The sequence below is a fragment of the Homo sapiens genome, chromosome 10, assembly GCF_000001405.40.
Source record: "Homo sapiens chromosome 10, GRCh38.p14 Primary Assembly".
Taxonomy (NCBI): Eukaryota; Metazoa; Chordata; class Mammalia; order Primates; family Hominidae; genus Homo; species Homo sapiens.
Window position 1 is genome coordinate 52202967 of NC_000010.11, and position 20171 is coordinate 52223137.

A 20171-nucleotide genomic window follows, 5' to 3' on the forward strand; every position below is an offset into this window, starting at 1 on the left:
CTTCTGGTTTTATTGATCTTTATATGGTTTTTCACATCTCAGTTTTCTTCAGTTCAGCTCTGATTTTGGTTATTCCTTGTCTTCTGCTAGCTTTGGGGTTGCTTTGCTCTTGTTTATCTAGTTCCTCTAGATGTGATGTTAGGTTGTTAATTTGTGACCTTCTAACTTTTTAATGTGGCCATTTAGTGCTGTAAACTCTCCTTTTAACCCTGCTTTAGCTGTGTCTCTGTGATTCTGGTATACTGTATCTTTGTTCTCATTAGTTTCAAATAATTCCTTGATTTCTGCCTTAATTTCATTGTTTAACCCAAAGTAAATCAGGAGCATGTTGTTTAATTTCCATGTAATTGTATGGTTTTAAGTGATCTTCTTAGTATTGATTTCTATTTTTATTGCATTATGGTCTGAGAGTGTGGTGGATATAATTTCATTTTTTTAAAATTTGTTGAGAATTATTTTATGGTCAACTATGTAGTCAATTTTAGAGTATGTGCCATATGCAGATGAGACTAATGTAGATTCTGATGTTTTGGGGTGAAGTGTTCTATAGGTAGATGTCTGTTAGGTTTATTTCGTCAAGGGTTGAGTTCAGGTCCCGAATATCTTTGTTAGTTTTCTGCCTCAATGATCTATCTAACAAGTGGTGTGTAGAAGTCTCCCACTATTATTGTGTGGTTACCTGTTTCTTTGTAGGTCTCTAAGAACTTGTTTTATGAATCTAGCTGCTCATGCATTGGATGCATGTATATTTAGGAGAGTTAAGTCTTCTTATTGAATTGAACATTTTACCATTATATAATGCCCTTCTTTGCCTTTATTTATCATTGTCGGATTAAAGTCTGTTTTGTCTGAAGTTAGAATAGCAACCCATGCTTTTGTTTTGTTTTGTTTTTCATTTACTTGGTAGATTTTTCTCCATCCCTTTACTTTGAGCCAATGAGAGTCATTGCATGTGAGATGGGTCACTTGAAGACAGCATACAGTTGGGTCTTGCTTCTGTGTGCAACCTGTCGCTTGGTGCCTCTTCATTGTGGCATTTAGCCTGTTTACATTCAAGGTTAATATTAATATGTGTGGATTTGATCCTGTCACCATGTTGTTCGCTGGTTATTATTATTATTATTATTATTATTATTATTATTTTTTGTTTTTGAGATGGACTCTTGCTCTGTTGCCCAGGCTGGAGTGCAGTGGCATAATCTCGGCTTACTGCAGCCTCCACCTCCCAGGTTCCAGCAATTCTGCCTCAGCCTCCTGGGTAGCTGAGATTACAGGCATGTGCCACTTGCCTAGCTAATTTTTTATTTTTAGTAGAGACCATGTTGGCCAGGCTGGTCTCAAACTCCTGACCTCAGATGATCTGCCCACCTCGGCCTCCCAAAGTGCTAGGATTACAGGTGTGAGCCACTGCACCCAACTGTTAGCTGGTTGTTATGCAGACTTGATTTTGTAGTTGCTTTATAATGCGTTGTGGGAAGTCAGGGACCCCGAATGGAGGGACTGGCTGAAGCCATGGCAGAAGACCATAAATTGTGAAGATTTCATGGACATTTATTAGTACCCCAAATTAATACTTTTATAATTTCTTACGCCTGTCTTTACTGCAGTGTCTGAACATAAATTGTGAAGATTTCATGGACATTTATCACTTCCCCAATCAATACTCTTGTGATTTCCTATGCCGGTCTTTACTTTAATCTCTTAATCCCATCATCTTTGTAAACTGAGGATGTATGTTGCCTTGGGACCCTGTGATGATTGCATGCACAAATTGTGCACGCAAATTGTGATAAACTGCACAAATTTTTTATAGAGCATGTGTGTTTGAACAATAGGAAATCTGGGCACCTTAAGAACAGGATAACAGTGGTTTTCAGGGAACAAGGGAGATAAAGTCTGGCTGCCCGTTGGCTGGGCAGGACAGAGCCATATTTCTCTTATTACCGAAAACGGGTAAGAGAAATATCACTGAATTCTCTCCCAAATAAGGAATATTAATAATTAACAGCCCTGGGAAAAGAATGCATTCCCAGGGCAGGGCTTCTAAAATGGCTGCCCTGGGAGTGTCTGCCTTATGCAGATGTAGATAGGGATGAAACACGCCCTAATCTCCTGCAGCGCCCCCAGGTTTGCTAGGATTAGGAAATTCCAGCCTGGTGAATTCTAGTCAGACTAGTTCTCTGCTCTTGAACCCTGACAATGCGTGCACAGCAGGACGTGGAAGTTCATTAGTGATTCTAGTTTCTCCCTGACCTTCTGCCTTGTGATCTTTTGTCTCCCTTGAAGCATATGACCTCTGTGACCCACACCCTATTCGTACACTCCCTCCCCTTTGAAAATTGCTAATAAAAACTTGCTGGTTTTATGGCTCAGGGGGCATCACAGAACCTGCCGATATGTGATGTGTCCCCTGGACACCCAGTTTTAAAACTTTCTCTCTTTTACTCTTTCCCTTTATTTCTCAGACCAGCCAACACTTAGGGAAACAGAAAAGAACCCACGTTGAATTATTGGGGGTGAGTTCCCCCAGTAATAATGTCAATGGTCTATGTACTTTAAAAGTGTGTTTTTTTGGTGGCTGGTAATGGTCTTTTTTTAATTTTAGCATTTCCTTAAGAACCTCTTGTAAGGCAGGTCTGCTAGTAACAAATTTCTTTAGCATCTGCTAGTCTGAAAAGGATTTTATTTCTCCTTCTTTTATGAAGGTTTGTTTGGCTAGATATGAAAAATCTTTGTTGGAATTTCTTTTCTTTAAGAATGTTTACTATAGGTAACCAGTGTCTTCTGAACTGTGGGATTTCTGCTGAAAGTTCTGCCTTTAGCCTGATGGGATTCCTTTTGTAGGTGATCTGTTCCTTCTCTCTAGCTGCTTAAAATTTTTTTTTTCTTTCATGTCAACCTTGGAGTGTCTGATGACTATGTGCATTGGGGATGGTCATCTTGTATAGTATCTTTCAGGGATTCTCTCCATTTCCTGAATTTGAATGTTGACCTCTCTGTTGAGGTTGGAGAAATTGCCATGAATGATTTCCTCTAATATGCCTTGCAAGTTGCTTGCTTTCTCTCCCTCTCTTTCAGGGATTCCAATGAGTCATAGATTTGATCTCTTTACATTATCCCATATTTGTTCATTCTTTTTAATTCTTTTTTTCTTTATTTTTGTTTGACAGTTAATTCAGAGAACCAGTCTTCCAGCTCTGAGATATTTTTTTGTCTCAGCTTGGTCTATTCTGCTGTTAATATTTGTTATCGCATTATGAAATTCCTGTAGTGTGTCCTTCAGCTCCATCAGATCAGTTTGTTTCTTTCTCTAAATGGCCATTTCCTCTTTCAGCTCCTATATTGTTTTATTGTATTCCTTAGATTCCTTGGATTGGGTTTTGTCTTTCTCTTGAATCTCCATGATCTTCACTCCTCTCTATATTCTGAATTCTATGTCTGTCATTTCAGCCATTTTAGCCTGGTTAAGAACCATTGCTTGGGAACTAGTGCAGTTGTTTGGAGGTAAGAAGACATTCTGGCTTTTTGAGTTGCCAGAGTACTTGCACTGGTTCTTTCTCAACTGTGGAAGGTGATGTTCCTTAATCTTTGAAGTTGCTGTCCTTTAGATGGGGTGTTTTGCTTTTATATTCTTTGATGCCCTCAAACCCTGGCATTTAATCGTGGTATAAGATGGTTTCAGTTGACTGGCTTCATTTTTGGAAGATTTCAGGGGCCAGGGCTCAGCCCAAACACTCCTGGACTGTGTGATTTAATGCTAGAGGGCTGGTACTGGGCCCCAGTTCTATCCTGTCTCCCCTGGAGGTTAGGAACCTGCTGCACTGGAGAGGCTGAGGAGTTTCCATTTTGCTGGCCACAACACTGATGGGGGTTGCCAACCAAAGTGCTTCATCAGAACAGTGGCAGAGTTACATGTGCTGGCTTTTGCATGCCAGCAGCCACAGTGCAGTGGCACAGTGTGGTGTCTGCACATCAGCTTGGGCACAATGGTGGTAAAAGTCGGTTGGCAGTGTCCATGTGTGCATTTGCACAGATGGTGGCATGGTGGGATGCCTTCATGCCAACAGGGGCATTGCAATGGCATTCATGCACACTTACCCCAGTAGTGGCAGTGTGGCAGACTGCACATCATTGGGAGCAGGGCTGTGGAATGTGCTCATGTTGCATGCACACATGTGTGCCAGCAGGGGAGGGGAGGCGAGGTCTACTTGCACTTGCATGCCCTGGAAAAACAGTGGGAAGGCTGTAGGTGAGTGCCTGCTAGCAGAGCAGGAGCGGGAGGATGCTGTGTGGAGAGGCTGTATGCAGGCTAGTCTGCTAGGGCTCTCGGATGGTCAGGTTCAGTCTGCTGGTGAGGGAGCTATGATGAGGGCCTCCAGGAAGCACCCTGGTTGGGCATCCAAGGCTACATTAAAAGTGGGCATGGCCAGGCTGGAGCTCCAGTACAGGCCAGCAGACAGTCAGGTACTCAGATCAGACTGGCCCCATCCCACAAGTAAGACCACCCTGCTTTCTTCAGTTCTGACAGTCAACCAAAGGCTAATGCCACCTAGAAGTACATGGTGAGCCTTGGGTGATAAGCGTCCCTGGCTGTGCTCCACAGCAGCCATTCCTGCACCAAACCTTGAAGCTCCACATAGGCTGAAGTACTGCCCCTGCCACCTCTCTAAGCAGCAATCCCTGCTAGCTTAAGTGTCTGTGGGAGTTGTGGGATCTCCTGCAGCTGAGATTCCAGGGGTCTATGGCAAGAGCAGACCACTCCTTACCTGTTCAACTCACCTCTTCCCCAGGGATCTCTGGGGGCCGGGAGTGAGCCCCATTGCTCATCAGCCCCATGCAGGGTTCCCAGCTTACTCCCCCTTCAGCCCAGTGTCTGCATCCTCCCTTCTCCACTCTCAATGCCTTCCCTCTGAAGATCTGCCTGGAGTGTGACTGTCTTCCCAATGTTCAAGTCTCTCAGTGGGAGATATTCCTCCTGGCAGCATCTAGTAGTCCTTCTTGGTCGCCCTTCCATCTCAACCTCTATTATCCTATTTTCCAGGTGAGGAATCTGAGGCTCAGAGAGATTAGATGACTTCACAGATAGCTGTGGAGTTGAAGGCTACACTGTGAGGCAGCAGTGGAGTCAAGATTTGAAGCAATCTGTCTCCAGAATTTGTCTTTTTAACCCTAAGCACACTGTCTTGTGACCATAGTTATGATCTTGTTATAGCTTTGCTTTTAATCTGAGAATATTCTTGAATCACTTTGAATGTGAGTCTTCCTTTCTTATGTTACAAATGAAAGGAACTCAAGACAAAAAGGAAAACAATCCCTTTCAAAACTGCTTCTGAATCTTCTGTTGGTAGCTTAACCATGGGCTATGAAACATATAAACTATGATATTTTAGATCCTGTCATAATTTAAAAGCACTGACAAGACCTATTCTGCAAACAATTCTGTATAGCATAAATACTTTTTCTCTATCACATTTATCACATCACAGAAGTATTATGGTAAAATGCTTTACCGTAAAATCCTCCAGCATCATACATCTGCATATTTAGACAGCTGAGTTCATCTTTAAATCAGCATTACCAAATCCACTTATGAACAACTGAAACAAATTCACAACCACTCAGAGCTAACACTAGGACACTTACACGCCATTAATGTTCTACTGGGAGTTTCAAGTAACACTGTATCCATTAAGAGAAAGGAAATTGTAGAAAGATGATCTTCAAGGCAATGACAAGTGAAATGGCAAATTATTTCTGCCCTAAAGGCAATAATTTTTCCATTTGGTCATGAAATATTGGCTATATTATTCTTTTAAAAGCCTGTTCTTTAACTATTATTTTATAATTTATATATTCTACATAATTTATGTTGTATATAAGTTTATGTGTAGATATATTCTAATGAAGTTTGTCTACAGCTAAATTACTGGCCTACTTCAAAACACAATACTAAGACTTTATTATTTAGAAGTCTTTAAAAGTTTGCCTCTAAATGTTTTTTGTTTGTTTTCACTGAAATATTTTTAATAATGTAGAAAATATGCTTAAGAGCGAGAAAATGATTTCAGCACATTTCTAACTATATTATATTTGGGTAAAATCCTAACTAAAGAAAAATGTTATTGCTAAGTTGCCATTAAGCTTCTCTTACTAAGAGGAATATTGCCCTGGAGTAGGGGGTCCATAAACTTTTTCTGCAGTGAGCTTTGTAGTGAATATTTTCAGCCCTCCAGACCTACTTAGCTCTGTTGTTGTAGTACAGAAGCAGTCACAGGCAATATATAAACAAATGGAAATGGTTGTGTTTCAATACAACTTTATTTATGGAGCCTGAGACCTGAATTACATATAATTTTCATGTGTCAGAAAGTATTACACTTCTTTTTATATTATTTCCAACCATTTAAAAATGTCATAATCATTCTTAGCAAACTGGCCACACACACAAAATAAAATAGGCCCAGGCTGGATTTTACCTTGAGTTGTCTATTACCAATTCTTTCAAAAGAATATTGTATTCATGTCAAGGGCCTCATTTAATAGTTTTTGCAGGGAATTGATGAGCAGGTGAAGAGGAGAGTACTGAGAATATCAAAGGAGTTTTAGAACCTTTTTTCACAAAAAATATTATGCTCTTGACATATGTTTTTTGCCAGAAGTCATAATCTCATGAGGCTCACACTTTACCAAAACCGAAATCTTGATTTTCCTCAAACCTGCTTCTCCTCTAATTTTCTCTATATCACAAAGCGGCAGCACCATCCATCCCCTTCTCCCTCATCACCCATCTCAAATCCATCAGCAAATATGCATGCCTGTTCCTTCTAGGAGTCCCTGGCTGCCACCACCTATTCATACCAACACTCTCTCTCACCTGAACCACCACGTTAATTCCCAGTTGACCTCCCCTCCCTGTGACCCTCTCCTCAGCAACAATCCATCTTTAGCAACGTATCTTGAGTAACCATTTGCAAATCAGAAATCTGATGATTGTACACATACTAGCTGCAATCTTAGCCAAGTTAATGCGGTACCTTAAGATTCCATTTCCTCTTCTGTAAATGGAAGGAGCAATTATCCATGCTTCTGATTTGATGTGAAGATTAAATGGCTAATGTTAAACATTTAGATGATGCCTATTCTGCAATCCCTATTTGATGAACTAGGGCCCATAAGATGGTAGCTACTATCATCATTAGTATTGTCATCATCATTGTCACTCTCCTAATTAAAACGGATTGCTGTTAGAATAAAATCAAAACGTGTCATCTCTTAGGTCTTGCAGAAGCTATCTGCCTCTCCTTGCCTGCCTTATGTTTGAAGCTTGTTAAGTCTCGGCCACTAGATCTTATTTTAGTTTCTCATGCACTCCAACCTCTCCAGGACCGTCACAGCTGCACCCTCCTATTCCTGTCACTGGATTCTTAATGTAAATGTCACTTCCTCAGAGAAGCCTTCCCTGACCACTCATTTAAAAAATATTTTCCACAAACTCACACCCTATGCAATCATAGAATTCTGCTCGTTTCTTTTATAACAATTCTCACGGTAGGTTATTTGTTAATGCCTTTATTTCTATATTTTTATTAGAATATAGCTTCCAGGAGAAAGATAAGCATGCCTCCTCCATCACTGTGTGCAAATATTGGTCTTCTATAAACATTTATGGAATAAAACAAAGAAAAATGAAATCTCAGAGATATCTGCTAATTTTATTCAAATTCTGATACAGTCATTTAAATTCATCAAACTCTAAGTGGTCAATAAGGAGGCTCACTCATTCTTCTGTCCATTTATCCAGCAAACATGTATCAAGTACCTTCTGAGTTAGCCCTGTACAAATTATAGAGGATCAAAAGCCTTGGTAGTTGCTTTCAAAGAATTCATAACATAATTGCATAAGCTGTCATTTAAAAGTACATATCAAAAATATATACATCAATGAGTCAATATACTTATTTTCTTCAGGTTTAAGTTTTAATTTTCTTTTTCATCAAAACATTCATCATATAAAATAGCACCTCTAACTGGCACCATCAGTTATATAGTAAACATTTACTGAACATGTGTCGGCTACTATACTAAGCAATGAAATTCTACTTGGATTTCTTTTTCCTGCTACACTTCACTTTTTAAGAGAAAGAAGCAAGTATCATCCAAATCAGTTATCGGATAGTCTGTTCTTTTAAAGTTTGTAGTTTTTGTCTTGGGATCTGTATACACGTATCATGTTCTGCTTTACTTTCTGCCTGGGCTACAGTCCCCACAGGAATTCATGTTGACCCTGATGCACTGCAAGGTCTTTGATACAAGGGAGAGATTATATTTTACCCAGTATTCTAACTATATCCAGAAAATATGTAGAGACATAGTCAAGAAATTTTTCGCAACTAATTATTTAAAGAAAAGCATTTTTGCCCTTAAAAAGGTTAAATCTTCATAATCCAATGAACAAGGACAGCCTATAACCAGCTGTCCGGTTGTAGGTTTTGTTTGCGAGTTCAACCGTCACTTGGTTATTTATTTCTATTTAAGAATTATGCATGCGTTTAGAAATTGCTACTATCAGATGGTACAGTAATGATATTTTCCTGGGCCAAACCAATAGATTTTCACAATATATAGTTAATTCAGAGAGACAGTTCTACTGAATTGTCTTTATTACAAATGTGGATATTAATTAAAACTTCTGAAATGAAGTAACTTAAAAAATACACAAATACCTATCCTGGTAAAAAAAAAAAAAAAAAAGAAAAGTAATTCAATAATTGGTTAGTAAAGTAACGGGGGTGATGAATGTTACTACGGAAAGTGGAAGATATGAATGCACTTAAATGATCTGCTAATAACTGTGTGATCTGTGGCAATTCTACCCCTCCAGATTCAGTTTCTATACTTAAAAAAAATAGAAAAAAAACTTGTATGAAAAGATTTCTATAAATCTTATATTTCTAAAGTTACATGAATTCAATACCACTTACCTGAACATTGGTAGTGTGTTTTAATGCAAATTAACTTTTTTATTAGGTGTTAAAACATTTTTATTACTGTTGTTAAAAGAAAAACTTTAGACAAATTTAACAGAATTTAATTGAGCCAAGAAAGACTTGCAAATCGGGCACCCCCCAGAACTAGAATAAATTCAGAGCAACTCTGGGGCTGCCACATGGTCGGATAACATTTATGGACTGAAAAAGGAAAATGAAGTACAAAAAAACAGTAGTGAGGTACAGAAACAGCTGGATTGGTTACAGCTCAGCATCTGCTTTAGTCAGAGAAGGTTTGAGCAATCGGCCACCAGTGATTGGCCTAAGCGCTCTGACTGATAGAAAAGTAGGTTACAGTCTGTTTACACCTCATTAGGTTACAGTTCACTGTATGGAGAAACCTTTAGGGTGAACTTAAAATAGGAAAGGAGGCAGCTTTAGGCTAACCTTAATTTAACACTGGTAATTCACTTGCCTCCTAAACTGTTAATGTAACTACCATCACAAACTTTAACACCTCCAAGAAGAGAATTTTTCTTCCCTGTTCCTTGATTTTTTAAAAAAGAGAGAATTAAAAAGATAACATATACTTTCTCATCTCATATACTGTAGCTTTTCTATCTTTTCATCCATATGGCTGTTGGGGGGAGAGGGGTGGTGTAGGGGAGAGAGAGAGAGAGAGATTAAAAAAAAAGAGAAATACTAGTTACAAGGCAGAATTATCTTTCTGATTGCATGAAACCCATAGATCATTTTCTCTCCAACAGAAATCTTTTCAGTAACCTCAATCCACGTTTTGGCTTCATTTTTTATTATGCTTTAACTGGATTATGGAATAAAACCAAGTTTCGATTTGGTTTCTGTTAGATATTGTTTTTCGCAAAGGGATTGTAGCTTTTTCCTATTAAAAAGTCAAATTTACCTTCAGTGAAAACACTAAAAGAAAATTGAACAGGAATTTCAACATAGAGTGATTTTGTCATAACAAGTTAGATATACATGGGAAAGTTCAGCAACTCTCAAAGTGCTTTATATCAGTGGTCCTGATAACCACTGCGTACATGAATGTTTACACACTAAGAAATTGACTTTTGCACTTAAAGCAAATAAACTTTCAAGTAGTTATATATTAATTCGGCTCTGAATATAAGTCAGTCACTATGTTATGACACAAAGAAATAGAAGTTTAGTCCTGGCCTTAAAACTTAAAAGTATAATAAAAAAAATAAAAATAAAAATAAAACTCTTACAAAACAGGAAAAAATGAAAAAAAGAAGTTCAGTTGACTTTTGATAGCTTTACAAACTGAGTTGGCAACAAATGTGTTCAAATGTGAAGAAAATCAGGAAACATCTCACCTGAATCTGTTTGGTAAAAAATTTGTTATGGGTTTATTTAAGACTCGTCATGGAAACGTCATACCTTATTTATGACACTATGTCCTAACATGCAGACTCAATGCAAATCTTAGCTTCTTTTTAGTGAAGCTCAAGGAAAAAGTCTTGGTGACCAACATAAGGAAGAGTCCATTTTAACATAGCAGCAATGCATTCATGAAATCCTAGCTGGAACCAGTTCAGACAGGGACATAGGATGTGCTTTGTTGCTCATTAGGGAAAAAAGAGCCATTTATCTCACTGGACTTGTGGGGATTGGGAGCAGGAAGCTGGGTTCAACTAAGTAGCTTAGTAGAGCCATCCGGCTTCCAGGAATGGGATAGTCACTACAGAGATGGAGCAGGACTCTGACTCAGCAGTGGGAGAGACTGGAAGAGAGGCAGTGGCTACTGTGAAAGAACACACCAACCACAGAGCAGAGACAAATCCTTTAGGTAGCTGTCTTTTGAAATTCACTTTGTATTCTACCTCTATGTAAATGTAAATGTTAAGTGCCTCCATTATAAATAACTTATAAATAATACTAACGTAACACATCCTTGATATTTACAAATAACACTGCCTAGAAATCTTAAAAGGAAAACCAAACATACATTTAATACATCTACAAGAAATACCTTTTTAGAAAATAAAATGTATATGTTTCAAAATTTGATGAGCATTTACGATGTGGAATAAGCCTACTTTTTTCACAGTCTGGCAAATGGGAGAGTCCTCATTTACAGATCCCATCCAATATGTCAGCCATTCTCCTGGGTTATTAAGACACTGAGATGAATATACACCCTCCCCAAACTCTAGGATCCCCTACTCTACAAAGGAGTGTGAATACATAAGTATCCAACTTGCTGACACCCAAAAGTGCAACAGTAGCATAGAGGAAGTAAGGGTTCTGCTTGGAAGAAAAGAAAGTAATAAGATTTCAGATTACCCACCAGGATATAACTTGGGTGCACATCTCTCACTGTTCTCATTTAGCCCAAAATCCACAGCAGCATGAAAATATGCAAACAGAGAACAGTATGCTGGTGTCATTTAGATGCACAAACTTTGATATCACACATACAGTGACATCTAAGGAATCATCACCGCACTAACATTCAATTTCCTTACCTATAAGATGGAGGTCATAGATAAACACATCTCAGACTTTGGAGCGAGATTGAGAGTATGTATGTATAGCACTTTGTGTAGTAGCTAGCATGCAGTAAGTACAATTACTCTTGGAAATTATTTTTATTTTCTAAAGAAATAGTAGCTATGGCTTCACAAACAAACCATTTAAGGATTCTTTAATAGCCCTATGAGACTAGAGCATGAAGTTTGAAAGGAGTGGCTGTGAAGAAAGAGGCCAGATAAAGATTACACAGCGAAGTTCCATTAATGCCCCCCAAAGGAATTCCAACTTGATACAAATGTAATGAGGAAAGCCCAGCTAACATGACTATGTGCTTTGGAAAGTTAAATCTAGAGACAATAGGAAGAAGATATGGAGCAGGTAACCAATCAGGAGGCCTTTCACTGAGGGAACAGTTTCTGCTATGAAAGCAGTAGGCCGGTTTTATAATTTGTGGGTCATTTTGAATATTGTCACGGTTATTTATTATGTAACTTTAATATGCATTTTAAGAGTTTCTGCAATAATTCACATGATTTTTTATGTTAAAATAATGATAAAAGTTTTTTCAAAAAAAAAAAAAAATGCCAGCATGAAGATGCCATTTTGGAGAGATGTATTATTCTAAATACAAAGTCTATTTTGGGCCAGGCATGGTGGCTCATGCCTGTAATCCCTACACTTTGGGAGGTGGAGGCAGGCAGATCACCTGAGGTCAGGAGTTTGAGACCAGCCTGGCCAATGTGGTGAAACCCCATCTCTACTAAAATACAAAAATTAGCCGGGCATGGTGGTGGGCACCTGTAATCCCAGCTACTTGGGAGGCTGAGGCAGGTGAATTTCTTGAACCTGGAAGGTGGAGGTTGCAGTGAGTCAAGATCAGGCCATTGCACTCCAGCCTGGGCGACAAGAGCAAAACTCCATCTCAAAAAAAAAAAAAAAAAGTATATTTTGAAGCTGACTTGCTATAAGCATTCTATGCTATAAAGCGAGATATACAGGCATTTAGATAGTTAAAGCAACAAGAAAATAAAAGTATTTTCTTTTGTGCATCTCAGGTCAGTGTACTTTTCAATATCACCTCAATATTTTCTCTTTTCCCCATGGGAAGATGTCTGAATACACTTTGGTGGTATTCATACATTCATACATGTTTCAAAGTGAAACAATTTCCTTGTGAAAATTTCAAATCATGAATTTGGATGGATAACTTTAAAATATGAAAGGTGAAAGGAATGAAAATATATTAATATACATTTTTATAATAGTAATGTTAGAAACATAACTTTTGGTTTTGATCTCATTCAGAATATAACTGACAAGAGGTAGATGATAAGGTAGATATTTACTAGTTGTGCTCTAAAAGTGAAAATGTCATATCTAATTGAATATCTTAAGCATAGATTATGTTTCACATGAAGAACAAAACCACAAAGGCCTAACTTGAAGGCAAACATTGTACTTTTGTGCCCTCCAGTGGCCATCTGGAGAATATACTCATCCTCATAGAATTGTTCAAGAAACATAAAGTGGCTAAGGAGACAATGGCAAAGGAAACAAGCAAACTGTACACCCAGAGACCCTGAGGCTATTACTTTCTCATAAATTTACTGAAGTAAGAAGAGAGCTAGCAGACTTGGGAGATTCTTCAGACTGCTTCCAAGAATGCAAAGGAGCTATTGGTTTGGACTACAGATGGTTCTTTTGATCATTCTTGAATATACTCTTCTTAGACACTTCTTAAACAAGGATTGCCAAGCACAGCATGGAAGCTTAAATTTTCATTTCAATCAAAAAAATTATGCATGGAACACAAGTGACACTAAGCTTCTCACTCTGGGAGAGGTATCACTTCAGTCAACAGGCTCCTGGGCTGGGGATCTTTTGGGAAACCAGCAGATAGCTACCGGAATGCCAGGGAAATAATTGCACATGGATTTTGCAAGAGACTCAAAATCAAATCACACTGGCAGAGCAAAGAGTTTTGACAATAAGACTTTAATTGAATAGTCAGAGTTAGATGGAACATCCAAAATAGAAAAATACCTGTTTATTAAAATGGACATTACCTATTTTCTCATCTTTACCTTTTAGTATTAGCTTAGCCCCAGAATTAGATGCAGTTAATACAGCCAGGTCTGCAGAGCATTGTAGATAGATTTTGATTCCTATTTTAAATGTGGCTGGAATTTCTGATGCCATTTCTTGCATGGTCCTAGAGGGAATAGAGCCTTTGGTTTTTATACAGTCATAGGTTTTGGTGCGGTTTTTTAAGATCAGTTTGTTATCTTTTTCTGAGAATTAAATGGATCAAAATGTCTCTAAATTTTAAAAATAAGTTTTGTTTAAACCCAGTGACTGCTTAACTATTTGCATAATACTTCTGAAAACTTTTTAGTTTTTCACAAATGGAAGCTTTCTTTTACTAGGCAGACAATTCTGTTTAATAAGTGAGTTCAGCTCCTGCACCACCGTGAATTTAATAGCCTGGAGATCCTGTTTCACTTTCTGAGAGAACAGATCCTATAAATTGCATTCTATGTGCCATTCCACTTCCTGTCTGATGGTGATGCGGAAAAACAGCTGTTGTGTGGGAACTGTTCAGAGCTGTGTTTCTCAAACCACAGGTCATGGAAGGGTGGTTAAGTAGGCCCTGTTTCCCTTTCTTCCAAAATAGCACCCAAGGCTCTTCTGACCTTGCCTCCTTCCACCTCTTAGTTGTAAGCCTACTAAGGAGTAAGTTTATCCTACTTCCTTTTGTTGTGTTTATTTTTAATTGGGGAGGAATAAGTACATATCCTGGGAGAGGCTAGAGTTATCCTGAGAGATGTGCGGGGTAAATATACATATACACACACACGTACACATTTATATATCTATCTATCTATATATATATATACACATATACACACACACACACTTATATATGTATAAGTAGAGTTCTCTCTTTTTTAGATTAGTGTCAAATGAATCTCATAGTCTAGGAACTAAAGCAAACCACATCACTCTAATTTTAGTACACCCTACCGTCAAACAATATTTTCACCCTGTCTTCAAATGGTACATAGAGAGATTTAGATTTAATTATTCAATATGGAATAATAGAAACTACAAGCAAGCATTAACCCAGGTTTACAGTTACTCAAATAGCAAGGATTAAACAATATACAATGGGTTGACAAATGTGCTGTCTCCTACTGGATAGGAGACAATGGAAACAAGTTTCATTGGTGGCTTGGGCAACTGATGCAAATGTACTAGCTGGGAGATAAATCAGACCTCAGCCCTGTTGGTAGTATAGACATCATCACAAAGGATATTTTAATAATGACACTGTGGCTAGCCTTTCTTTTCCTTCCTCCGTTACTCTCTACTTATAATTTGCATAATAAATGAAACTCCTATTTTATCTCTCATTCCAATGGCTTCTCTTAGGAAATTAATGGTTTAGAAAAATAGCTTACAGCTGGGAGCCGTGGCTCACACCTGTAATCTCAGCACTTTGGGAGGCCGAGGCAGGTGGTTCACAAGGTCAGGAGTTCAAGACCAGCCTGACCAACATGGTGAAACCCTGTCTCTACTAAAAATACAAAAATTAGCTGGGCGTGGTGGCACACGTCTGTAATCCCAGCTACTCAGGAGGCTGAGGCAGGAAAATCACCTGAACCTGGGAGGCAGAGGTTACAGTGAGCCTAGATCACCCACTGCACGCTAGCCTGGGTGACAAAGCGAGACTCCATCTCAAAAAAAAAAAAAAAAGAAAAATAGGTTACAGTTTTTTTTTTGGTTTTGGGGGAGTGGGTAAAAACAGAATGAACTAAGGCGTCTTAACAGCTGACATCCATCAAAGGGGCTGCTCTTTTGCCTGGCATTGAGGTAGCAAGCACAAGGCCATATAGAGAGACAGAATCCAAGAAATTCTCATAAAAAGCAATTAGATGACAACAGAAGGGACAAGCAGAAATTATTAAATGTTTTTAGGCTTCTGGTTAAAAAAGATATTTTAAAACCTTATCAAGTATGACCCAATTTCTTTTTGATTCAACATAAACTTACCCAACTGTATGAATAGTCGCAATACAAAATTTTGGTTCACAACAGCCAAGGCAGTATTCTCCAACCTGAATAGAAGTCTTAACTTCTAAACAATTTAGACTTTTAAAAATTATATAAATTCTACACTCATTACTTTAGAAAATTGTGTTGCAAAAATCAGTGTTTATTCTGGATTCTTAAATTAAAAATTTATAGGGATTAGGATACTTTTTCAAGGTAAATTTCCCTTTTGATACCTTCAAAGTGTTTGATGAGCAAAAGAGCCATTAATGTTTTCAGGGCCTCCCATGAAATGAAATTAGTGTTTATGAGTCTTATCTTCATTAATTAATATTTTAAACTAAACTGTTTAACCATAATATAATGTTAATAATTTTTCTGAAACAAAATATAAGAGAATATTATGACCAGTTTCTGTGTTGAACCAAAGCTAAATTCAACAGTAGTTAGATAAGCTGAAGATAAAAGGCAAATGATAGCATATTTATTTAAAAATGAAACACAATTTAAAAAGGAAAAACAAAGAAAGAAGTACATTCCCTTGTGGGACTTTTTTGTTTTCATGGTGAGCACTTCTGTAAGGAATACTTTTTTCCTATGTTCACACTAGATGTAAGTGGGTCATAAAACATTTACGTACTAGGATGAATAGATTTTGAGCTGGGAGGCTTTAATTAGTCATGTGCAACTATTTACAAGCTTATGAGAATTAGAAAAGTCATAGGAAAATAAAATAAAGAAATTAGCTGAAAAGAATGACAATAATTTAGCTAATTAGAAAATGTAATTATAGTGTATTTTCCTTCAGATTACAAACTCTCTGCATAAGAGTCCAGTAATCCTTTGAGTCTAAGATGCCTTCACTGATAATCTAGAATAGGATCAGGCAGAACCAATGAGGTAGGATATAAATATTAATAACAAACAATCCCAACATCTCACTTTGCATATTCATTTATTATTCTCCTCCAATAAGCTTTTATCCATGGTTGCTAACAAACTACTAAACCGACTGATTTTTTCTCAGTGCCTAATAACAAACAACAAAGTGCCTCAAGTAAACTGTTGGAAAGAAGGAGATGTAGTTGGGAAGAAATTAAATAACCCCCATACTGGCTAACAATGTGTTGAATAACTAACAATTAGCTGACAATCACTCATCCTCTTGTTATTTATTGTTAATCACCCAAGTGAATTTACATATAAATACTGAGGGCAAAATAATAATTCCTTCTTACCCTTTTTGCTACCAAACACTGGGCATATTTATAATTATCCTGCCAAGAGCAAACTATGCCATAGGCCTTTAAATATTGCAAATGAAAGAGGTGGGGAGAAAAAATAAACATACATTTCTCATTTATTTTTCTAAAGTAATTTAATAAATTCTTTTAGAAAGAAAGATTAAAAGTTGGTAGGTCATTCATCTTGAGGTTTCTGTGAACATCATATTTGCCTCTGTAAATAAATAAGCAAAACACACTCCATTTTAATGAGATCCTTTCCAATATCCCATATTTTTAAAAAGTGACATTACTTTCCCTTAACTGTAGAACAAAGTCAAGAAGCCTCTGTCTAGTCTTCAGGGTCTCCTAGAGTGTGGCCCCAGTGACATTCAGAATACAGTGAGTAGGATTGAAGTATGACAACTGAGGCTACATTATGAAGATGTTGTGTCCTCTGCCTTATTCCCTGAGGTTGTTTGCTTTCTGGGAAAGCCAGTCACCCTATCATGAAGACACTTAGGCAAATTAAGGAAAAGTTCACATGGGGAGGAAGTGGGCCCTTCTCCTAACAACTAGCACCAGCTTGCCAACTATGTGAGTGGGACATCTTGGAACTGCAGCTTCAATTCTAGTCAGGCTTCATATCTGCAGAGATGACATCTTTTATATATATATATATATGTAAGTTCAGGGGTGCATGTGCAGATTTGTATATAGGTAAACTTGTGTCATGGGGGTATGTCGTACAGATTATTTTGTCACCCAGATATTAAGCATAATACCCCATTAGTTCTTTTTCCTGATTCTCTCCCTCTCCCTACCCTCCACCCTCCAATAGGCCCCAGTGTGTGTTGTTCCCCTCTATGTGTCTATGTATTCTCATCATTTAGCTCCCACTTATAAGTGAGAACATGCAGTATTTGGCTTTCTGTTTCTGTGTGAGTTTGCTAAGGATAATGGCCTCCACCTCCACCCATGTTCCTGCAGAGGACAGGATTTCATTATTTTTATGACCGTATAGTATTCCATGGTATATATATACCACATTTTCTTTATCCAGTATACCGTTGATGGGCATTTAGGTTGGTTCCATGTCTTTGCTATTGCGAATAGTGCTGCAATGAACATCTGTATACATGTGTCTTTATAATACAATGATTTACATTCCTTTGGGTGTTGCTGGATTGAATGATATTTCTGTTTTTAGGTGTTTGAGGAATCACCACACTGCTTTCCTCAATGGCTGAACTAATTTACACTCCCACCAACAGTGTATAAGCATTCCTGTTTCTCCACAACCCCACCCGCATCTGTTATTTTTTTGACTTTTTAAAAATAGCCATTCTGACTGGTATGAGTATCTCATTGTGGTTATGATTTGCATTTCTCTAATCATCAATAATGCTGAGCTTTTTTTTCATATGATTGTTGGCCGCATGTACAGAAATGTCATCTTGATGGGCTAAGACAGAACTGCCCAGCTGAATTACTCCCGATTCTTGCCTCACAGAAGCCATAACATAATAAATGTTTATTGTTGTTTTAAGGCAATATATCTTGAGATAATTTGTTATGCAGCCTTAGATCAATAATATATAACCTCTGTTAAAATTTAATGTAGAAAATGAGCTGAATAAATGTTACAATGAGTTTTATTTTAAAAACTAAGTCAACACGTCTTTTTAAAAACTTAGGGTTTTTTTACTACTTAATATGAAAGTTAAGAATATTTGCACACTCCATATTTCATGGTACTTAATTTTTTGCATATGAAGCCTCAAATATAAACTTTATTAATGTTATTTTTAAAAGAAAACCAGAATATGAACTAGGTGTTAAGTCATATTTATTTTAAAGTAATCCAAGAATTCATATGAATATTCACTGTCAGTGAAAAAATTAAATCAATAAATGAGGAGCTATAACATCAGATATTTTTTACTTGTTTTACATACACAAACAAGATGATAAGTTGATCTAAAACAAGACTTAGAAATCAACTGCATGTGTGCTACAGGCTTAATATTTCTAAATATTGTAACAAATGCAAAATAAGACAGTTTCTTAATGCAAGGTGCTTTTAGCCTTATTTGTTAGTAAAAAGCTAGCAAACACTAAAAATTAAGGGAGATATTTGGGCTATTGGATTAAGTGCTTTCAGAAAACTGAAGAAATAAAACTGAAGCAGAGGTGGTTAGGTGTTGATGAAAAAGGTTTGCATAGATGATGGGTAAATATCATTGATTTATGTTGGGCTTTGGAGTCGGTAAGGGTGGAGATGAGTGTATTAGGTCACCAGCTGCTCCTCCTTCTCCCAGAGTCAGGGGAATTGGGTGAGTGGGTAAGGAGGCCTTGCTTCCGGTAAACACTCCTTGATGTTCCCTTAGAGTCATCCCTTTGAAGACTCCCGTCCCTTTGATGACACCAGCAGGGGTGACCCCTTTTAAGCCATCAGAGTAGTTCACCCATGGGAGCACGTGTGAAACATTAGCCTGCTTCTGCCCCTCTCCTGCTGTTTGCTGCTGCACAAGTATATTCTGAGCAGAATGGGGGTCCAGAGAGGGATGGTTTTTAGTCTTCCAATAATGCATGGGAACCAAAAAGTCAATCTGTAATTGATCCCTAAACTCCAAGCCTACTATAATGACATGAATTTCTGCCTAGATTCATGGTATTTTGTATTTTACAGTCTTTCATTTTCTGATGAATGTTTCTCAATGCAATTCTTCACCATTGGAAACCCCAACCAGGAGTGAGAATATGGGATTTTCTAGATAGATATGTAGATGAATGTATAAAGAGATGGATAGGTGAGAATCAGATTGTGGTTTAGCACAGGTTTCAGAGTCAGTCTGCCTGCATATAAAACCCAGTACAACTCCTTACAAATCATGTGACCTTGGAAAGTTAGTAAATTGTCTGTGACTCAGTTTTCCCCTGGGGGATGTAGTCATTTCTTGTAACAATTAAATGACAATAAGTATAAAAAACTTAGAATAATGCCTACCACATATTATGCAGTCGTTAGATAAAACAGCTGTTTGTGTTTGGTGGTGCTGTTGATAGGAAAACATATTGCCTTGTAGTAATACTTGATGTTATCCCAACTTTGCCTTACCTTTATATCATCCCAGGTGTATAAAAACTCTTACCTGTCCTATAGGCTAACCCAGTTTGTCATTCTTTTGGAACATTTGACTTTTACTGATAGCCATATTGGCTTATCACTGGTTTGACCTACACTAACATTTCACTGTGTACCAGCTCATATCCCCTTTCTCTTACTTCAGGGCATCACCCTAGAAATTCTTTTCTCTTTTATGTGAATATTTTCCTCGCTCCAATCTTTAAAAACCAACCTACCAACCAAACAAACAAAAACACTTTA

The 20171-nt window shown here is 37.6% G+C and overlaps 1 protein-coding gene and 1 long non-coding RNA gene across 5 annotated transcripts in view, besides 3 other annotated features; one reads left to right on the forward strand and one right to left on the reverse strand.

Annotated features, from left to right (window-relative positions):
* Positions 1-20171, forward strand: part of PRKG1 (protein kinase cGMP-dependent 1) — a 1307463-nt gene that overhangs the window by 1212079 nt on the left and 75213 nt on the right. The gene's annotated exons all lie outside the window — the stretch shown is intronic.
* LOC124902425 (uncharacterized) overlaps positions 1-20171 on the reverse strand; it is a 56483-nt gene that overhangs the window by 5932 nt on the left and 30380 nt on the right. The window lies entirely within an intron of this gene.
* Positions 1949-2463: an enhancer, noted in NCBI's record as "OCT4-NANOG hESC enhancer chr10:53964675-53965189 (GRCh37/hg19 assembly coordinates)". NCBI's record gives its function as "activates a minimal SCP1, AML or CMV promoter by ChIP-STARR-seq in naive H9 embryonic stem cells {active_cell/tissue: H9 hESC(naive)}" and the evidence as "EXISTENCE:reporter gene assay evidence [ECO:0000049][PMID:30033119]".
* Positions 10374-10875: an enhancer, noted in NCBI's record as "NANOG hESC enhancer chr10:53973100-53973601 (GRCh37/hg19 assembly coordinates)". NCBI's record gives its function as "activates a minimal SCP1, AML or CMV promoter by ChIP-STARR-seq in primed H9 embryonic stem cells {active_cell/tissue: H9 hESC(primed)}" and the evidence as "EXISTENCE:reporter gene assay evidence [ECO:0000049][PMID:30033119]".
* Positions 10503-10797: a silencer, noted in NCBI's record as "tiled region #2630; HepG2 Repressive DNase matched - State 5:Enh". NCBI's record gives its function as "represses a minimal TATA promoter and a strong SV40 promoter by Sharpr-MPRA in HepG2 cells {active_cell/tissue: HepG2}" and the evidence as "EXISTENCE:reporter gene assay evidence [ECO:0000049][PMID:27701403]".